The sequence below is a fragment of the Homo sapiens genome, chromosome X, assembly GCF_000001405.40.
Source record: "Homo sapiens chromosome X, GRCh38.p14 Primary Assembly".
In the NCBI taxonomy this organism is placed as follows: Eukaryota; Metazoa; Chordata; class Mammalia; order Primates; family Hominidae; genus Homo; species Homo sapiens.
In genome coordinates, this window is record NC_000023.11 from 31,231,668 (window position 1) to 31,254,181 (window position 22,514).

At 39.3% G+C, this 22,514-nt stretch overlaps 1 protein-coding gene across 26 annotated transcripts in view, besides 1 other annotated feature; it reads right to left on the bottom strand.

The window, feature by feature from the left end:
• DMD (dystrophin) overlaps window positions 1-22,514 on the bottom strand; it is a 2,220,167-nt gene that overhangs the window by 112,446 nt on the left and 2,085,207 nt on the right.
• Window positions 4,716-4,785: an enhancer, noted in NCBI's record as "active region_29514". NCBI's record gives its function as "activates an Ori minimal core promoter by ATAC-STARR-seq in GM12878 lymphoblastoid cells {active_cell/tissue: GM12878}" and the evidence as "EXISTENCE:reporter gene assay evidence [ECO:0000049][PMID:35858748]".

Below are 22,514 nucleotides of genomic sequence, written 5' to 3' on the forward strand. Positions count from 1 at the left end.
CAGAAGTTCGAGACCACCTGGGCCAACATGGCGAAACCCCGTCTCTACTAAAAATACAAAAAATTAGCTGGATGCGGCGGCAGGCACCTGTAATCCCAGCTACTACCTGGGAGGCTGAGGCAGGAGAATCGCTTGAACCTGGGAGGTGGAGGCTGCAGTGAGCCGAGATTGTGCCGTTGCACTCCAGCCTGGGCAACAAGAGCAAAACTCCGTCTCAAACAAACTAACAAACAAATATTCATATGTACTGTGGTAAAATGGTGAAGGAAACACACAGGAAGTGATGAGACTGTATACATAGGGAAACATAGGTCCGAGAGGCTTCTTGGAGAAGGTGACATTGAAGCAAAGACTTGAAGGATGATGGGAGCGTGCCAGGTAAGAACACAGCAGCGTAATAGGTCAGCACATGTTAAAAAAAAAAAAAAAAAAAAAAAAAAGCTCTGAAGCAGAGAAGAAGGTGGGGCTTTAAGAATCCTTAGAAGGCCAATATTGCTGAAATCTCAGAGAGGAAGGAGGAAGAGTGGGCACAGATAAGGCCTGACAGGTAGGCAGGGGGAGGCCCACTGCAGAGCCCTGCACATCGTGTGAAGGATTTTGGGTGTTGGGACTTCTAGTTAAACACAGCAGATGGAGCAGACTCATTTGTCTCTCTTTATCCCTGAAACTCTACCAGGTTGATAGAAGAGGAATAAAAAATGGCATTTACCCAAAAGAAAATTAACAAAACAGGAGAGGAGATGAGAACAGATCAGAGCTCCAGTATTTTGGTGGCTTAGAAAATGACCTGCTGGTAACCAACTTAGGAGACCAGAGAAATCCCAAGCTCAATTAATGATGTTGGGGAGACAAGGAGATTGGGGCAGGGAGTGGGAGGAACTAACAAGACGCATGCCAGTTTATGTAGCCAAGAAGTCTCAGAAATGAAAGGCTCCAGGTTCCTCTGAAGACTGAAATGTGGCTGAAAATACAAGGACTGGTTGAAAGTCTTTAGAGCCCTAAACACCTCCCCCACTTGGAGCCTAGCATCTCAGCCACCTGCTGCTTCATCCTGACAGAAGGCTGGAGGCTTAATCTCGAAGCTGCACCACACACCAGGGCGCATGAGGAGCAGTGAAATTTGGAAGTGGGAGAAGGCACTGGAAACAGAGGGATTACATACCAGCTCTGCATCCTGAAAGAAAGTAAATCTTCAAATTCATTTCCTTCATTTCCTACTCCTCAATTCCATATTTAGTCTGCTGTTTTCTGTTAACTCATTTTAAAAAGCTCTTCTACCTAAGCACTTTCTTTTTTGCCACCTTTATCTCCAGAAGGAACTTCAACTTCAGCAAGGTATGCAGCCATTAAATTGTTCCTCAATTATCATCCCTATATATCATATTCTTCATGCTGCAGTTACAACTACTCCAAATCAAATCAATGCACTTTCCTTGCAGTCTCCCTCTTGACAGGCGACTTACAGTCACACAGGCCACTCTGGCTGCTGGAATAAACAATACTATTCTCCTCCTTTGGCTCAGAACCTTCAGTCACTGCTCTCTCCTGTTTTTCTCAGTCACAACATGGGTAACTCAGCTACTTACAGAACTCTCAGAATGACACAAACTTATAAATTTACCCCAATCTCCTTCAACTCTATTCTCAACCTCATTAATTAACGAATCTTAACAGTCTCTCTTCATAAGTGAACACACATCCCAGATTCGCCAGGGCAGAGCCAGTTTAATTAAATTTTCCTCTTTGTTATAAAAGGTAAGACTCTAAAAATGATCAGATGTGACTTAATTCTTATACCTTTGCAAAGCCAAATTCACAGATTTTTTTTTTTAATGTTGTGCCTTAGCTTTTTTGGATTGCAAAAACATACTCTTCATAATATGGTTGACATTACCTATTTTGAATTTATCACTCTCTCTTACAGTTGAAAAATTTGTGGAAAGCGTATTTTAATGATGAAAATAAATAACAGTAAATTTCCTCATCTGCTTTAACCTCATCTTTTGCCCCTTCCTGTTTTAAAAAGTCTTAACTTAATTTTCCTAAAGGCTACCTTTTCTACCTTGGCCTTACCGCCGTCTCGGCTTACTTATTTCTCTGCCCTTATCTCCCAAGATTTCAACATATGATCTTTCTCCCAAAACTCCATTTCAATTACTTCTCTGGTAACCACAGACCAGAGGTCACCAACTGGTTGAATTTAGTCTGCAGACTCTTTTTTTGTGTGTGTGTGTGTTTGATTCGTTGGTCAGTTTGGGCTCACATAATGGTTTTTGAAATTGTTGAATGATACGCCATTAGTTAAAAATCTGGTGATTTCCCGTTGTCTTGCTTCTCTGGAAGAACCTGAAGACCTGACAATAGAGACTCACATTCTCATAGAACAGTCAGCTGCAACGGAGGCTCTGTTACCCTAACAGAAGCTTTTCAGGTTGCCCCAGTTCCCACCCAGTCACCTTCAGTCATTCAAATTACCAGCTTGGCCCCAGGAGGCATTTCTTTTCAGATCTTTGCCTCAGCCTGACCACTCCCTTGTTCTCCCAAAAGCTTTTACATTTACCCTTCAGTTACACTCTTTTTCAGGTCCCTGTCAAGGCTCTGACTGTGGAGTCCCTCCAATAAGTAGCTATTACCTGGCTGTCACTCAAATTACTCTATGGAAACAGTTGTTACTGGGTTTTCCCAAAACTTTCCAGCGATTAATTCTTTGGACTCCACCTTTTACTAATGCATTCAAACTAAATGATTGTGCTGCCAAAAATATTGCCTTAATACACTTACTGTTGCAGTACAAGAACAGGTAGGAAGACAGGCCAAAATCCATGAGTCTCCTGACTATATTTCATTAAGTGACAATTACTTCTGCATTTAAAATCATCAGTTGACGCTTACTTAAGCACCTATTATATGCCTAACTGTGTACTAAGCCCAGGGGTTAAAGATTCAGGTTTCTAAGATATTGGGGAAAACAAAAAGATTATTCACCCTGTAAAAAATCAGTACACGTATCCCAGGTATTTGTGATGTGTCAAGCAACACACACATACAAAACTCTGGTTATGTGAGTGTCAAAGAAAAACCAGAGATGGACGGTAAAGTGGTAAAAACAGATTTTATTCAGGAATATTGCAATAGTGGGAAAGAGACCTCAGTATAGAACTGGGCTCAACTCTGAATACAGCATGGACAAGTGGGAATTGATAGCCAAGGAGCAGGGTGGGGTTTGGTGGATGGAAAACTACTAAGAGAAAGCATGGGGGTAAGGGGGATTCTAGCTAAAAAAAACTTAACAGGAACCTTGCTGAAGACACAGGCCAGGGTGATCAGACGTCACATGGGGGATGGTGGAGGATGAGGAACCTGATCAGATACATAAGAGGAAGGTGGTTCTTGCTAAACTGATTTAGCAGGATTCTCGCTACAGCTGGATTTTTACAAAGAAGTGCACAGGTGGGCCTAGGAGAAGGTTCAGGAGTCTGGCTGAAGTTTGATCAAGTAGACAATCTTTATCATGAGGATGCTTATGTACATACAGAAACATATAATGAAAATAGACCATCGTGCAGTTTATATGTCAACCGCAAAGGTAGTTTCCAAGATGACATAAGCAGTATTCCAATGAACATTTTTAAGGTTAATGGCATTGGAAATTTCCTACATAAGCCATGTTACTCATGAAACAGTAATTTCTAAGCCCACAAAGGCTTAAATTTAGTTTAAATATCCAGTATACAATAAAAATAAAATCTATAGTAATACTGATAGAAATGACTGATGTAACTAATTAGAAATAGCTTTATTTTTCATTCTTATACTTGAGGGAAAAAAGATGAGAAAAATGCAGACTTCTGAAGAGGTCATGTTGTGTTCACTTATCCTTGGCATCTAGGGCAATAAATGATGGTGCTCAATAAATGTATTTGGAATAAAATTAGATTCTGAAAGGAACTTCCTTGCTTTTACCAGGTTTAAGCTGTCGATGACATTGATTTTACATCTAATTTTTCTTCAAATAATATAATTTTCCACTTCTATGGCTGAATCACTGGAATTATTATTTTTGCTTACTCCTTACAACCTGAGCTGGAGCTTCTTTTTTGAAACACACCTCACAAAGATATCAAGACTTTCCTAAGGAATAAAGGAATTGGGACAAAGAGAGAAAGAAAATAAATGGTCTAAAAAGAATGCTTATTTGCAAGGTGAATCCGCTGTATTTAATTGTGGCAGATAACTGTATGTTGGCTCACTCAACACCCCTTCCCAAATTCTTTCTCCTTGGTCTTTCTCTGCTACAAAGGCTGGAGGATCTCAATTCCCTGATCCAGCCAGGGGAAGCTGTGTGGACACAGTTTTGGCCAATGCTTGAGAAGATATCTGCAAGAAAGGATTTCCCTTCCCAAATGGAAAGACAAAGAGACTCTGAGGCTGAACGTCCTTTCTCTTTCTTCCTGCCTGAGAAGCAGCAGTCGTCTTGGAACCATCAGGACCAAAGTCACTCGTTAAAAATGGTACAGCAGAATAAACCATGGCCCAGGTCTCTGATGACATCACGGAACTCTTCCATAGCTCTCAACTACCTGCCTCCAGACTTCTTGTTCTACAAAAAATATCAACTCCTCTGTGTTTAAGATACAATTGGTCAGATATTTTATTAACTGCAACCAAAAGTCATCTCTAACTGACATGTTAATTGAACTGTAAGCAACAAAATGCAGAAGACTAAATAGGGAGCATCGTCCACCCCCGCAATCCTCCTTGCGGTGGAGAAATGACGTGAGCACTAAAGAGATCTTGGGTGGCAGAGATCTCCATCCTTGCTACCAGGTGGTGCCACTGATGCAGAACAGCTTGACAGCTAATTTAACGTTTAAAACAATTTTATAACAGAGGGCTTATATGGGTAAGGCACTCTTCTAGACAAAGTCTGCAAAGTGTTTAGCCATTTGTTTGGAATGGGACGTTCACAAGTCTGATTCTGCCCAGATGTAAGATAAGGATTGGAATTTAAAAACATACAAGTTACTTCTCTGGAAATTCACGTGTCAACCTATAAATGAACACATATAATCAACTAGTTTTTCATTAACTCTTTAGAGTTAATGAAATGTTCATAACTTCATCTCTAGTGCAAAATTTCCTCTTTATTTATAGCTCTTAAGATAAATGTTATTTAAAAAAATAGTTTTGGTAACTTCAACTAATCATATGTTTTGACAGTCAAATTAAGATTCTTCTCTACCCTTTATCTAACAGTAAACATTTTAGGTTCTGAGTGAAAATGATTTGCATCCTCCATCTGCCTCTTTCCATTTCTCTGGTGCCCAACATCAACACACCCCCAATATCCATGCCCTCTAATAATCATCATGAATAAAATGGATGCCAAAATGAACCACAGTAGAAATTAACCTTAGTTACCATGGGAAAAGCAAACTGACCTTCTTGCAAAAAACATTTTTGCAACATTTCTGTCTTAGGCTGGTATGCATGCTTTCACCTCATTAGGAAAGATACATTGTTTGGGTTTTGTTGATGTTGCTGTTTGAGAGGTGCAAGAAGAGAATCTGTTGAGTCTTTATGCATGAATAATGAGTCCAAGATAGAACACAATTCAAGATATTTAAGCATCTAGGATCATAGTAAACTATGCGTATCTCTGCTTTTTGTATACTCTAGCATAACAGAAGAGGGGAACAGGTGGTATGACTCAAATTGCCCATGCATGCAGAAGCATGTGATAGAGAATGTTTTCTTTTCACTGTTATGTGTTAACTTTTCTGGAGACTAGATGCTAATGATGAGATCCTGCTGAAGACACTAATATGTAAATCATTCCTTAAACAAAATTACTTAGCAGCTGCAGTTATGATAAAATAAATCAATGGTAGGAGATTTTCATTAGATAATGGACTGCCTGGCCCTCTGACATAGACTGAGGTGCTTTTAATAAAGGATGCCTGAAGCGTTCCTGTTTACCCTCTGTGTATCTGGACAATACATTTGAATCTGGAACCAATATTACCGGTACTCCGGGAAAATACTCTTTTTATTTTATTTTTATTTTTTTTAGACGGAGTCTCATTCTCTCGCCCAGGCTGGAATGCAGTGGCATGATCTCGGCTCACTGCAACCTCTGCCTCCTGGGTTCAAGTGATGCTTGTGCCTCAGCCTCCCAAGTAGCTGGTATTACAGGTGCCCACCACCACGCCCAGCTAATTTTCATATTTTTAGTAGAGATGAGGTTTCACCATGCTGGCCAGGCTGGTCTCGAACTCCCGACCTCAAGTGATCTGCCTGCCTTGGCCTCCCAAAGTGCTGAGATTACAGGCGTGAACTATTGTGCCCAGCCTTGAAAAGACTCTTCTTTATCACCTCAAAACTATGCTGCATTTGGGAGTTGCTTGATATAAAGCTTTACCAATTTGAAGATTCAATCCAAGAATCGGGCAGACTCTGAGTTCCTCTGCCCACCTCATGGATGGCCCTGAAGTCACAGGAGTGAGTTTGCCTTCTTTCTCCTCTCAGTGGCAATGACCACGGATTCCTTGTCTTTTGGATTGCCTCCTACTTCATAGCAGACAGGGCTCATTCCCCCTTTCTCTGCCTCTCTGTTTCTCTCACTTCTCACCTCAGCTTTCTTTTCAACACACTGGATCTGACCCAGCTTTTATTCTCCTCAGAATCCTGGACAAAACTACTTGAGGATAAACCTAAAGCAGCCCTTTTTTCCTAAGATGTAGGTGACTCTTACTTCAGCTCTTTTTGTATGCAAGTATTCCCTGTAGAGCCAAAGAGAAAAACGGAAGTGACAGGCCGATGGCAGAAGGAATACTAACATTCGCTGAGCACTCAAGGGCAAATGTCGTGTGTACCTGATACCATCGAGTCCTTACAAGGCCCTGAGTTCTGTATTATCAGCTTTGTTAAAGATAAAATGAGGCTCACAAATGTTTGGTAACTTCCCTACGGTTGCATCCCAGAGCCTGCATTCAAGACCAAATCTTTCTGACACTCAAAGCCTCTGATGGCCTTCCCCGCTTCTCCGCTACAGAACAAATGTCTTTCCTTACCCAGTGTAATCCTAATTAGCACAAGGGTGAATGGGCAGTAGTACCCTCAGAAGAACCATGATACCGGGCAAGGAGCAGAGGGTATGGGGTGAGGCAGAAACCCTTGCACAAGGACCACAGGGAGGGAAACTGACCAGTCAATGGGATGAGGGAGTGACCAGGAATGTAACTAGACCAATAATGATGAAGTTCCCAGTCCTCCTTATCTAGAGAAGTTTGCTGAATAATCAACACCTGCAGTACGAGTTTCTACCATTTTTCCTACAAAAGTTTTTTGCTCCCATAGAAACATACAGCTGCTTTCTATTTACATGGTGCAGTATATCAGGCACTCTGAGGGTTAACTAAGATTCTGTGACTTAGGGACCTAACCACCATTTATAACACATTTCATTCCAAATTGTATGCAACTGACTTACAAATAAACTTGGAACAGAGCCCGAGGGTAAGTTTGGAAAGGCCTAAATCTTGTCTCAAGGTGGGAATGTGGTTCTTGCCTGACTGCTGAGAAATTTAATGGTTACTGGGCAACCAGGAATTAAATAATTTGGGAAATTTTAACTCTACCTTTTTCTTATGAGTATTCTTTAGGGGAATATATATACTTTTTATTAAGAAAATGAAATACATGGTGCCTTAGAAATAGAATCTCTAATTTAAAATTTTCATTTTCCAAATGAGAGAACTAAGGACTAGAAAGCTCTTAGTAACTTGTTCTGAATTCCCTAGTCAGCTAGGAGAAAAACATCAACTAGAATCCAAGTCTTTTTCTCCCCAAGTGTGTATCCCTTCCCTGAGCAAGCCACAGAACAAAAATATAAAGGCTCATTCTAAGTGGGACTTCAAGTCTACTCATTCAGCTTAAGGGCTCCCAATTGCTCCCAATTCGAACAGAGGGCCCGTGAATTTCTTTAACCTTGACAAACATCTGACTGGAAAACAAATTTTCCCAAAAGCAAGCAGGGTCTAATTTTCCCCTGTTAAGAGTGGTTTCTAGACCTTGGCATCTTCTTAAATTTTTAAGATTCAGCTCCTCCTAACCCGCTCTGACATATAAAGTCATAGTGTTGTGAAGCAGACTGTGTTATAGAAGGAAGTCAGGAAGTAAGGATGTGAACATTTCTTTTAAAGAGTAGCAGCAGCCTCCATCCTGAATGAAGAAGCCAGGTCTCAGACACTCCCTTAGACGTGCCGCCTTTAAGAAAGGACATCCTCTCTGTACTTCTGATGATCAGCTTAATTTCCCATTTGAATAATGATTTTTTTGTTTGCTTCTGAAGTCATGAGAAGCAGTTAGCATTTATGAAGCTTTGAATGGTTGTCCAATTTGACTTAAAGGCCACGAGATGCTGATGTTAAACTTCGTACATTTATTTCTGGGTTCCTGTCTTATTAAAACACTGACATAACTCTCCATAGTGCAAGTTTTCATTCACCATCTGTCAGTCTATTGCGCTACAGGAAAAAAAAAACTCCAGGTTAATTATGTAAAAGGTAATAGCATCAAAGAACAGAACATTGTGCCTATTATACTCTCAATGTGCAAAAATGGGCATATTTTTATGTGTATGTTTGTATATGCAAAAATATTTACAGAAGCAAACATAAAAACTATACTGTTAATTGTCTCTAGGAAGTAAAATTAGGGGATTGATACCAAGAGTGGTTGGAGACTTACTTTTCAATACTATCCTCTTACAATGTTTGATTTCTTAAAGTCATGTGCACTTTTTTTAATGATTGAGTATTAAATCTATCTATCTTCTTTTCAAGATTTCTCTATCTGGGATTTCTTCCAAATTCTTAGCTTCACCCGCTGTCCTTCAGGAGAGTACTATTGTACAATGGAAAAACTACTGGGTAGAGAAGAAAACTTAATGGGCTCTATTTATGTCTTTGCTGTAAAATAATAGTAATAATGGTTATCATTTATTAGGTGCTTACCCTATGTTTGCAATAAATAACATAAATTCTCAGGTTATCATTTATTAGGTGCTTACCCTATGTTTGCAATAAATAACATAAATTCTCATATAATTACCTTCAACTGTGATATCATTATTTCAATCCCATTTTATAAATAAGGAAACCAAAGGCCTAAGAAGTAAAATTCAAATCCATTTGACCCTAAAGCCCTTCCTCTTCATCACTATGGTCTCCCAATAAGCTTGGTCTAGTAACCTTAACTTTCCTAAGCTTCATTTTTTTTTTGTTCATTTTTAAAGGGAACAGTAATAGTACCTATTCCTAGGGCTGTTGCAAAACTAAGAGAGATAGTGTATCTCAAAAGCTCCAAAGAGGAGATGTATCTTGGATATATACTTGCTCAGTAAAAGTTAGGAACCTTTCTCTGCCCCTGTACTTCTTGTTATAAAGTATAATAAAAGTGCAAGTAATATTTTTATCATGCTGTGGACCAAACTCTTTCTTCGGTTCCCCTTTTCAAATGGCTTTAGAGTATTTCCTCTTCAAAATGCCACTGTCCCCTCTCAGGAAGAAAGTATAGCTGAGGGGCTAAATCGCTGGTTTAGGAGTTAAAAGTACACGTAAATCCCTGCTTTGCAATGTGAGAAAATTACCTATTTTCTCTGAGCCTCATCTGCACAATGGAGATACAAATATCTTTTACAGGGTTTTTGAAAGGATTAATGAGAAATATATGCTTATGGTATGGCAGCACATACATTTATATGAGCCACCAAAAATAAATTTTTCTAAGAAGAGAAATTGTAAATAAACCCATAAGTATGTAATTCAATCAAATTCATATCTATTCCCTGTTGCTCCGCTCAGTTTGCAATTTCCTCTTTTCCTCAATGGTATCACCATTCTCTGTGTCACCACGCCTTCAAATTTTGAAGACATATAACTCCCTTTTTCTTTAAAACCTGTCCAATCTGTGATTACCTTCTGGCAATTCTACCTTGTTAAGAAAAACCTCTGGAGTCACGTTCCCTTTTCCTTCCCCCATTGCTATCCTAAGACCCTCATCATGTCAATTACCTCAAAACAAAACGAAATAATCTCTCCCCTCTCTAACTGTCCTTAAACTCACCCACCAAATTCCTATTCCAAAACACAGAAGACGGACTTCATTATTTCTCTTTTCTGAAGATTTAACAATGTTTTTCCCATTGCCAATCAAATGCAATGTAAATTTCTCACTCTATAATTTAAGGCACTTAGTTCACCCCAGGGGCACTGAATCAGATTTCCCTTTTAAAAATCTGGAGTGGCCAGGCGCGGTGGCTCATTCTTGTAATCCCAGCACTTTAGGAAGCCGAGATGGGCAGATGGCTTGAGCTCAAGAGTTGAGAACAGCCTGGATAACATGGCAAAACCCTGTCTCTACCAAAAATACAAAAATTAGCCAGGTATGGCGGTGTGTGCCTGTAGTCCCAGCTGCCTGGGGGGCTGAGGCAGGAGAATCACTTGAGCCCAGGAGGTTGTGGCACCAGTGAGCCATGTTCGCACCACTGCACCCCAGCCTGGGCGACAAAGTGAGACCCTGTCTCAAAAAGCAAAAAAAAAAAAAAAAAAAAAAAAAAAAATCTGGAGTAGATTCTCAGAGAACAATGTCTTCACTGACTCGCAAACAAGCCAGTCTTTCATACCTTTGTTTATGCTGCTACACTATCTGGAATATCTTGGCCCTACATTTTACTTTACCTGAGTATTACAAAATTTCTTCCTAGAACAATGTTTTTTTCCACTCTCCAAACAACTCTCCCTAATTATTCTAATTAATACTGCTCTTCCTACCTATATAAGGTACCATACGTTTGACCTTAATCTTATTTAAGTTGGTGTACACGGTCTTGTAACATTTATTAACTGTTTTATTACTTCCCAATTTTATTTCCCCCAAAACACAGTAACATCTTTTGTGAAGCTGACATAGGCTTTTTTCAAAGGATTTCTTATACAACAGGTAGAAAGATAGCAGGCAACAATAAGATATGTGTGTGTGTGTGTGTGTGTGTGTGTGTGTGTGTCATATATAAATTTGAATGTATAAGCCTTCAGTCATTCCAACCTAAGACATCTAAAGTAACCTTGAAAAGCAAAATGGGTATACGTTGGCATTAATAAACGATACCACTAGCAATAAGAGAAGATAAAATAATATGGTTGTCATTTGGGTTCTACAGACAGAAAGGACTTAGAATAATGTAAGTGTTCCACCACCGGCCACAAGTAGACCTGGTACCATCTCCTTCACTCTCATAGGCAAGGAATTCTATCACATCATGAAGTCCGCTGCATGACCAGAGTCACGCCAGCTTGGGCAATGAACAGGGATCATGCCTTATACTTTTGTGCATTCTATTACCCAGAGAAAGGTTTTGAACATTCTAAGTACTCCATATTTATGGGGGAAAAAAATCAATGCCTCACAGAAAACTGTAAATGTAAACTGACCATATCTATGGTATACATGAGTCTTCCTCACCCAAGAGGCAGGAAGCAATCTTCCTTTTCTGTTAATAACTGAATAGCCTTTTATTAGGACAGCCACTGTAATTTAGGGCTCTGCATATATTTAAAAAATGTGAAGAAACAGGAGTTGGTATAGAGAATAAAATTTAATTTAATGGGTAGATAATAGATCCACTAAGGATGGATAAAGGGATAAGGCTTATTTAGCTGAAAAAAAATTAAACTGTACAGTATTTATGTAACCAGGAGGCTGTTACCAACTAGAGCCCCTCAACATAACACACAAAAAAGTGTGTATTATATCAGAAAAGTTTGGAAGAGTTGTGTTTGGTTAACTTCGTTTTGTTTTCACATTACTCAAAAAAGAAGAAAAACACCCAGCAGATATTTAAAAGAAAACATTTGTGGTCACTAGAAATAAAAAATACACAAATATTAACAATGAGATGGTTTAATTTTCCTTGTTACAATAGCAAAAGTAAAAATAATACTCCATGCTGGGAAGGACATGGTTAGATTGGCACTTTGAAGTATTATGAGTGTAAATGGCTACAGCCTTTTGAGAAAGTTTCAGGCAGTGCATTCCAAGAAGCTTAGAAACATTAACACCATTTGACTCAGTGATTCCACTTACATGAATCAAATGTAGAAAGGTGTTATGCATAAAGGTGTTCCTCAAAGTCTTACGTGGAACAGTAGAAAAATTGGAAACGACTATGGAAATAATTATCAGCTCTATATTCTTTAATTGCGTCTTGGCCAGAAAATGTAACTGAAGTAAGAGGCTACAAAAGCCTTAACTGACAGTTAGAAGCAAGAACCTTGAAAAGAACATGGGAACTGTACACACAAATGTTTTGAGAAGATAAAACAGTCTGCTAGCCATTCTACCTGGAGAGATAAGTTAAAGGTAACTAAATATTTACATATCAGTTATTATAAAAATTAAAACTTACAGAAACCCATCATAAAGTTGAGTTTCTGTATAAAATTGCTTGCTAAGAAGGGCAAAGTTGTTCCTGTAATTCGGAAAGTTTACAAGGATACTTGCCTTGTCACCTTGACACCATACATATTTGGTAAAGAAAATTTTATCCATTAAGATATTTGTGGTAGAAAACTATTGATTTAAATTCATAGCTATATTTTTCATAGGATAAATGTTACTTATCAACTTTCTGATAACTGACTGTCTGTTTTTGACCACACTGACTTTATTCTGTAACATCACTTATACATAAGTAGCTTGTTGGACAGAAGGTATTATAACACTTTACTTGGCTTTCTTCTCAGAAGCTTGTTAGTAATAAGCCTCCAGATTCTTAAAGATTTCCTTCCATAAATTCAACACGAATTTGACTTTTCTTTGTCACAATTTTCAAAAATTGGGAAATATTTTTTTACAAAAGTGGTACCCCAATAAACTGCAACTAGCGAAAAATAACATCTCTGAGGAACTAAGAATAAGAGAAGACTTATGATTACAGTAGGATACAACACTTTAAACATTCTATTATCTCAAACAACTATATAAAAATGCATAGGAAAGAAGACCGGAAGCAATCTTTTAAAATGTAAATAGTGGCTATTTCTGGGTACTGAGATGTGAGGTGATTTTCATTTTGTTTTTGCACTTCACCTTCTAAAATTTCTAGAATGAACATCCATGTTTTAATGTTCAATAAAAGTAAGATCATAAAAACTTCTATACCCTCAGTAAACGTTTTTCTCCTTGATATTTTTAGCCTGTTGCCCTAAAGTTTGAAAATACATGGCACGCTCTTAAATGTTTACTGAAGCAGGAAACCAATGAACGAACGAGGCCATCAGCACATCAAATTGTGTTCAGTGTTTCCTTTCTTTGTCATATAAATTCTGAATCCATAGTGACACTTTTTACGGGTCTTATTTCTCCTTATCAATTAATTATTCCTTTTAGGGCAAAATTAATTCCAGAATAGCAGTTCACTTGGTTTTGCTAAGATAACAAATTGCCAATAAAATCTACAACTTAACTGATATTCCCTATTTTAATTACTTTGAGGCTTTATCTTCTACTTTCTGGAAAGAACTCCATCTCTCCAGAGTTCCATCTTGCCAGTTTAATAATCCGCCTTAGAAAACCCTCATCTGTATCTTTCCATCTTCTTGAGTGGTATTTGTTTTCCTCCCGAGCAAAATCACTCTCCCTTGCTCTACTGTGCTTCATTCAATGAACAATTATTTTTTCAGAGGCTACCATGCACCAGGCACTGGTGACAAAGATGAGGAAGACAGTTCCTGCTTTAAAGAGGCTCATTACAGGCTCATCTCATTAAATTGCACTTTGCTGTATTGCACTTTGTGAAAATTGCATTGTTTACAAACTGAAGGTTTGTGGCAATCCTGTGTTGAGCATGTCTATGGACATTTTTCCAGCAGCATGTGCTCACTTTGGGTCTGTGTCTCGTTTTGAAAATTCCCTCAATATTTCAAATTTGTCATTATTTTTATATCTATTATGGTGAATCGTGATCAGTAATCGTTGATGTTACTACTGAAATTGTTTTGGGGTGCAACTAACCACACCCACATAAGATGGCAAACTTAATTGATCAACGTCATACGTGTTCTGACTGCTCCACCGACCAGCTGTTCCCCCATCTCTTTCCCTCTCCTCTGGCCTTCCTGTTCTGAGACACAACAATATTAAAATCAGGGTAATTAATAACCCTACAATGGCCTCTAAGTGTTCAAGGGAAGAAAGAGCCATACCTCTGTCACTTTACATCAGAAGCTATTAATGATTGAGCTTAGTGAGGAAAGCATGTTGAAAGATGAGACAGACTGAAAGCTAGGCCTCTCATGCCAAACAGTCAAGTTGTGAATGCAAAGGAAAAGTTAATGAAGGAAATTAAAAGTACTACCCTGCGAGCACACAAATGATAAGAAAGTAAAACAGCCTTATTCCTGATATGGAGAAAGTTTGAGTGCTCTGAATAGAAGATCAAACTAGCCACAACATTTCTTTAAGCCAAAGCCTAATCCAGAGCAAAACCTTAACTCCCTTCAATTCTATGAAGGCTAAAAGAGATGAGGAAGCTGCAGAAGAAAAGTTGGAAGCTAGTAGAGGTTGCTTCAAGAAGCTTAAGGAAACAAGCCATATCCATAACATTAAGGTGCAAGATGAAGCAGCAAGCATTGATGCAGAAGCTGCAGCCAAGTTTTCCAGATGAAGCTAAGGTCATGGATGAAGGTGGCTACAACGAACAACAGATTTTCAACATAGATGAAACAGCCTTCTATTTAAAGGTGATACTATCTAGGACTTTCATAGCTCTAGAGGAGAAATCAATGACTGCCTTCAAAGCTTCAATGGACAGGCTGTATCTCTTAGTAGGGCCTAATGCAGCTGGTGACTAAGTTGAAGCCAATGCTCATCTACCATTCTGAAATCACAGGGCCCTTAAGAATTATGTGAAATCAGGCCGGGCACAGTGGCTCATGCCTGTAATCCCAGCACTTTGGGAGGCTGAGGCGGGCAGATCACGAGGTCAGGAGTTGGAGACCAGCCTGGCCAACATGGTGAAACCCCGTCTCCACTAAAAATACAAAAATTAACCAGGTGTGGTGGCAGACGCCTGTAATCCCAGCTACTCAGGAGGCTGAGGCAGGAGAATTGCTTGAACCCGGGAGGTGGAGGTTGCAGTGAGCCAAGATCGTACCACTGCACTCCAGCCTGGGTGACAGAGCAAGACTCCGTCTTGGAAGGAAAAAAAAAAAAGGAATTATGTGAAATCTACTTTGCCTGTGCTGTATAAATGGAAAAACAAAGCTTGGATGACAGCGTATCTGTTTACGGCATGGTTTACTGAATATTTCAAGCTCACTGTAAGACCTAGTGTTCAAAATAGGTTTCCTTTCAAAATATAACTGCTCACTGACAATGCACCTTGTCACCCAAAAGCTTGGATGGAGATGTACAAAGAGATTCACGTTTTCATGCCCGCTTACACAACATCCATTCTGTAGCCCAAGGATTAAGAAAAAATTGTGACTTTCAACTCTTATTAGTTGAGAAATATTTTGTAAGGCTATAGCTTGACATAGACAGTGATTCCTCTGATGGATCTGGGCAAAGTAAATGGAAAATCTCTGGAAGTCAGGTGTGGTGGCTCACGGCTGTAATCCCAGCACTTTGGGAGGCCGAGGCAGGTGGATCATGAGGTCAGGAGTTTGAGACCAGCCTGGCCAAAATGGTGAAACCCCGTCTCTACTAAAAATACAAAAATTAGCCGGGCGTAGTGGCACACGCCTGTAGTCCCAGCTACTCGGGAAGCTGAGGCAGAAGAATCACTTGAACCCAGGAAGGCAGAGGTTGCAGTGAGCCTAGATCACGCCACTGCACTCCAGCCTGGACAACATAGCAAGACTGTGTCTCAAAAAAAAAAAAAAAAAAAATCTCTGGAAGTGATTCTTGATGCCATTAAGAACATTTGTGATTGATAGGAGGTCGTCAAAATATCAACATTACCAGGAGTTTGGAAGACGTTGATTCCAACCCTCATGGATGACTGTCAGGGGTTCAAGACTTCAGTGGAGGATGTAACTGCAGATGTAGTGGAAACAGGAAGAAAATTGAAATCACAAGTGGGGCGTGAAGATATGGCTGAATTGCTGCAATTTCATGATCAAACTTTAATGGATAGGGAGTTGCTACTTATGGATGAGCAAAGTAAGTGGTTTCATGAGATAGTATCACATTCTACAGAGAAATCTTTCACAAAAGGAAGAGTCAACTGAGTGGCAGTCTTCATTGTTGTCTTATTTTAAGAAATTGCCACAGCCACCCCAACCTTCAGCAACCACCATGCTGTGCAGCCATCAACATCGAGGCAAGACCCTCCACCAGCAAAAGGATCATTACTGGCTGAAGGCTCAGGTGATCGTTAGCTTTTTTAACAATAAAGTATTTTAAATTAAGGTATGTACATTGTTTTTTAAGACATAATGCTGTTGCACACTTACTAGACTACATTATAGAGTAAACATAACTTATATGTACTAGAAAACCAAAACACTTGTGTGACTTACTTTATTGTGATATTTGCTTTACTGAAGTGTTCTGGAACTGAACCTGCAAAATCTCCAAGGTATGTCTGTATTTAGTCTTGAGAGTCATGAGCATAAACACCTGTAAACGTCGCAAGTACTTTCATCAAATGCATGGAAGCTTATCCTTAGTGTTTGGACTTCTCTGCAGATAATTTGTTTTAATTGCTACCTCCTCTCCTTTAAGATCAGTTTCCTTTGAACCCAGGATGTCCTTCTGGTATCTTATCTATGTCACCTCAAACTCCTATGAAAGCTTTTTAGTTTTTTTATGTTTCTTGTTCCCGAAATATCTGCATAGAGGGTTGGTTGCCTTACTGTCCATGGGATCTCCTGTACTTCAATCATTTGCTTGTTGGTTTTTGATACTTTCTCTGCCTTTTCTCTGCTCTGCTGTTTATTACAGTACATTTTCCTGCTCCCTTACCAATTGGCTTCCAAGTAAGTTTGGCCAATAGGAGTCACTGGCAGAAGCCTAGAGGGCAGGCGGAAAGGAGAAGCCGGGCGTACTTCCTTTTTCATTCTACCTCCGGCAATAGGTCTGGCTAACTGTGTCTCCTTCCTGGCTCCAGCTCCCTCGGAGCCCCTCCCTCATTGGTCCCAGCTGGCCAAAGGTTCCAACTCCGCCTTGATGCCCATGACATCTGGGGCTCTGGTGATACCACCTCTTGTCATTGTCCCTCCAGCCCTAGGTATAACAGAAACTTCATGCTGTGTGTGTGGCTTCTCAGCACTTCCATTCTTGAGTAACCAATTTCCCGCATTAAATTCCCTTTGTTTGAAATAACTAGAGGGTTTATGTTTTCTGACCAGGCAGACCCTGATTGATACATCTTCCAAATCAAAAACCTTAGTATAAAAAACCTTCAACATACCATATAAGGCTTTTCACAGTTTTAGCCCTCCTCATCTCTACAGCCATTCTGTGATACCTCCACTACCACAGACTAGTACCACCATCATTTATTAGATATTTATGCTCTTTTTTGAGACAGAGTCTCACTCTGTTGCCCAGGCTGAAGTGCAGTGGTGCGATCTTGGCTCACTGCAACCCGTGCCTCCCAGGTTCAAGCAATTCTCCTGCCTCAGCTTCCCGAGTATCTGGTACTACAGGCAGACGCCACCACTTCTGGCTTTTTTAAATTTTTATTTTAGTAGAGATGGGGTTTCACCGTGTTGCCCAGGCTGGTCTCGAACTCCTGACCTCAGGTGATCCACCTGCCTCGGCCTCCCAAAGTGTAGTCTTTTTTATCCTGAATGATATATTATTTTAGAATTGGGGGAGGGCAAACAACACAGTACAAAATGTATTATTTTAATTTGCATGTCAAATTAAAGTACGTGTATGCTTTCCAAAAGTTAGGATAAATTGTGATCAGGTGATCTTTATCACCTTGGTTAAGAAGTAAAATACTTCAGAAAAATTTAGTGGCTCCTTGAGTGTCAAATGTGAAGACCTAAACCTAGGTGTCTCTCACTATCTGAATTCTTGGTATCTCAATTCAGGAACCCAATAGATTATTAAATAAGGAGAGACACTGGTATATGATAATAATAACTAATAATAATAATGCATATCACTAATAGCAATTATAATTCCTTGAGCAGTTACTACATCAGACATTCTGTTACCTTACATATGTCATTCTAATCCTCACAACACAAGATAAGTCTCATCATAACTATTTAATACATCACATAACTGAGGTTTAAAATTATTAGTGGCTTCCTTTTTGACCACAGAGAACTGGTGACAGAATCAGAATTTAAATCCAGCCTCAAAGTCAATGAACAATTTTGTTGCTGCAAAACATTGCCTCCAAACCTAAACTCATAAAGTGACAATAGGAAAGTCACAGTATAATCAATTAGTTCCCCCACTGAATGCACCCCATAAAGAGTGCATATATCACAGTTTATATTCTAGATAAAAGCAAACCTGTATTTTAAACTTATCACATTATATACATTATATTTAATTATAGGGGGTGCGAGAGACATTAAACTAGGCAGCAGTGGCTCTGCCGCTTAATCTCTGGTTCCTTCCTGTAACACAATGATTTCTATGCTTTGTCTTCTAAAACAATTGCTAAGGAGAGCTACCAAGTGGGAAAGAAAATAGATCCCTCCTCTGCCTGAACTTGACTCAACTGGCAAAACATTAAACCGCATAAATAACATTTTCAGGTGTTCCTGTTTGGTTAATTATCCTCCCCCGACCTGAGTCACTTGATTTGAGTTTACATTTATACTTTCAAAAATTAAGTGCTCTAGAACAGTGCTACTCAAAATATGGTCTTTCACAAGCATAGATATGGACAGTGTGTTAAGTAACTTCTATAGCAATTTGACATTGCCATGACATCCAAATTCATGATCAATGAATTCATCTCATGGAGCAGGGTACAGACGAGGTCAAGTGTTGTTGAACTTGACTGTTGAGTTACATGTGGTGTGAATGCATACTTGTCAGTTTCATTAGCACCACCTAAAAATCTGTGATGTGTAGTATGTTAAAAACCACCACCGCGGCTGGGTGCAGTGGTTCACGCCTGTAATCCCAGCAGTTTGGGAGGCGGAGGCTGGCAGATCATGAGGTCAAGAGATCGAGACCATCCTAGCCAACATGGTGAAACCCCGTCTCTACTAAAAATGCAAAAATTAGCTGGGTGTGGTGGTGCACACCTGTAATCCCAGCTACTCGGGAGGCTGAGGCAGGAAAATCGCTTGAACCCGGGAGGCAGAGTTTGCAGTGAGCTAAAATCGCACCACTGCACTCCAGCCTGGCAACAGAGCAAGACTCTGTCTCAAAAAAACAAAAAAAAAAACCCACCACCAACAAAAACCTGGCCCTTCACCAGTTTGAGAAGCACTGCTCTTCAGTGATAGCTTCTTTTTTTTTTTTTCTAAGACAACGTCTTGCTATATTGCCCAGGCTGGACTCAAATTCCTGGGCTCAAGGGATCCTTCTGCCTCAGCCTCTGGAAGCGCTGGGACTACAGGTGCGTGCCACCATGCCTGGCCTTAAAGTGATAGCCTCTTTACAGACCAAGAAAGTAAAATATAAAAACAATCACTTTCTTACCAAAATTAATGCTTGGTAAAGAAATCTGTATGTAAATATATCAATATAAGCAACATTTGTCTCCGTTATATAAGCTTCTATTTATGAGGGGGTGTAATGACTTTCCTGGAGTTATGCAAGCGATGAACGCTTTGTGGAATAGCAAATTTTGAAACATTCCCACAGAATATCACCAATTCATAAATAAGCTAATGATTCATCCACTATGTCATAAGAGAGACTTTCAGAATATTTTTAGGTCATTTTATTACTACCGTAGAGGGTACAGACTTTAAAAACTATCTATTTTATGTGAGTGCTCTGACTGTTCTGAATCTCTTTCCAGCAAAATTGCAGCTCCCAAGAGACATACAGAGGTAATCAGACTTGTGGGCTTAAAAAAGAAATATTGGAAATGTCTGAATAAGAGCAGACACGTTTTTAGATGCCTTTACTCTGTGTGCAAAAATCATCTTCTGCAGATCCAGCTACATAAAATTGTACATATCCAGCACTTTTCTTCTAGCTGCAGGTGTAACCTTAATGTTCCTCTTATTTAGATCAGTAAACTACAATTTGGCAGCTCTTTTAAAACTGTAAACCAGTCAAAGTCTAAGGAACAATTCTTTTTGAGTTTCCTTCTGAAATAAGCTTGGAGAGATGCAATTCAGAAATATCTATTATGTTCTTCAATTAGAAGCTTTAAATCAAGTTATTTGAACAAGAAAAAATATTATAATATTTAGAACAGTCCATTAAAATGCCATAAATTTTGATTTGGAAGTTACATTTCTATTTTACAAATGGGGAAAGTCAATGGATCCTAATCAAAGTTAAAAGAGCAGATTATTTTTCTTTTTTCTTTTATAAGCTGAATAGTAAAGGAAGAACATTTATAACAGCCTTAATAACAAATTTGAGTAAATCTCCTGTGCTAATTTTGTCAGCTAGGGAATAAAGAATGTCATATGGATTCCAGTTTAATTATGCCGATAAAGCAGTTTTATAAATCATGCTAAGAGTAATGGATGTTCCTTTGAGAACAGAGAACTCGGAGTTTGTAAAATGTGTGTTCTGGACTTGGTTCCTTATCTTCTACCATAGTGAGTATAAATCAAATCAAGTCTTGAGTCTCAGTCTGCTCAAGTCCAAATGGAAAGAAGGGAAAAGTTGCCCCATCCACCGGTATGGTAGCATTATTTCCCAAATCAAAAACTGGAAGGACACTCAAAGGGATGACAGGACAAAAAATCTGAAACTGAAATTGATAGAAAATCCAGGTCATATGCCACCTACTCTATAGCTGTGTGAGGATTAAATATGGTTATTTCTGAAAACTCTTCGCCATTGTAAAGTGCTACACAAATAAAGTACAATTATTACAAATATGATTATAGGCTAGGAGCGGTGGCTCACGCCTGTAATCTCAGCACTCTGGGAGGCCGAGGCGGGTGGATCATGAGGTCAAGAGATCGAGACCATCCTGGCCAACATGGTGAAACCCCGTCTCTACTAAAAATACAAAAATTAGCTGAGCATGGTGGCGGGAGGCTGCTGAGGCAGGAGAATCGCTTGAACGCGGGCGGTGGAGGTTGCAGTGAGATGAGATCGTGCAACTGCACTCCAGCCTGGCGACAGAGTGAGACTCCGTCTCAAAAAAAAAAAATTAAATTAATAAATATGATTATCCTATTATTCATATCCTTTAGGTTGGTGGTGACAAAGAGGAACTGGGGGTTTAGGGCTGACAACATTCATACAACCAAGCTTTACTCTAGCCAGGGGTTAAAACAAAACCAGTCATTTAATGATGAAAGATCACTGGCCAACATGACATATAAGAAAATGAAGACCAATAGAAAGCAAGGGACTTGCCCGAGGTCACACCAAAGCTGGCATCTGAATCTAGCTATCCTTTCCAGTTCAAAGCGTTATGGCAGTAAAAAGTCAAAAGGCAGAGGTTTTAACACTGAGCAATATATTAAGGAACTAGAAGCAAGAGCCAAGGAAAGCTAAATATTGAGTAGCTTAGTGGAGAACAGTTTAGTTCACAAAATATGCTGAGAAAAGCATTAGGACAAGCTCCTAATGCAAAAGGAAGGAATTCATAGTCATTCAGAATCCTGCAGTTTCTAACCCAAGAGCATCCTCAGGAGGGAATACTTAATGGAATGTAGAAAGCCTATCAAAAGAGGAGAGTGAACAAATAACTACAATATCCCTTCCTCTTGGGCAAGCTGAGGAAAGAGGTACAAGGATTTTGATAGCAGTGTTTTTAACTCTCTTGCAAATTGCTGATTTATAATGATATTGATGTATCTTTAAAAAGCTTTTAGCCCCATTGACTTAACTAGGACTTAACTAGTTCTCCTAACTAGAACTGCTGAAGAATCACACCCCTAACCTCAGGCCCAGCAGACCCTAAAATTAAACCCTCATTTTAACATTCTGAAGCTCTCTGCAAACCATAGACATGAAGCTAAGGGCTACGTGCTGATAGACTGCCTTCAAATCTTATGGTTTTTAAAGACCACTTTTCCTAAGAATTCCAAAAACACTCAGAAGTCCATTTTTGAAAATTGAGAGCTTTCGCATCATTCAGGTGAGCATCATGCTGGATAGTAGGATCCAAAAATTGGGCAACAGATTAAAAAGGGCTAGATCCTTCTGAAGAACGCTATAACTTAAGAAAAGGAAAACCAGTACCCCTTGAGAAAACACTTGTGGTTAAGAGGGCTTCAATGAAGGAAAAGGAAATTGGAATAAGTAACACCAGAACATACGGTGCATCTAGATTTTAATAAACTGCTTGAAATAAAATCAGCTTTCTGAAGTGCAGCGATTCT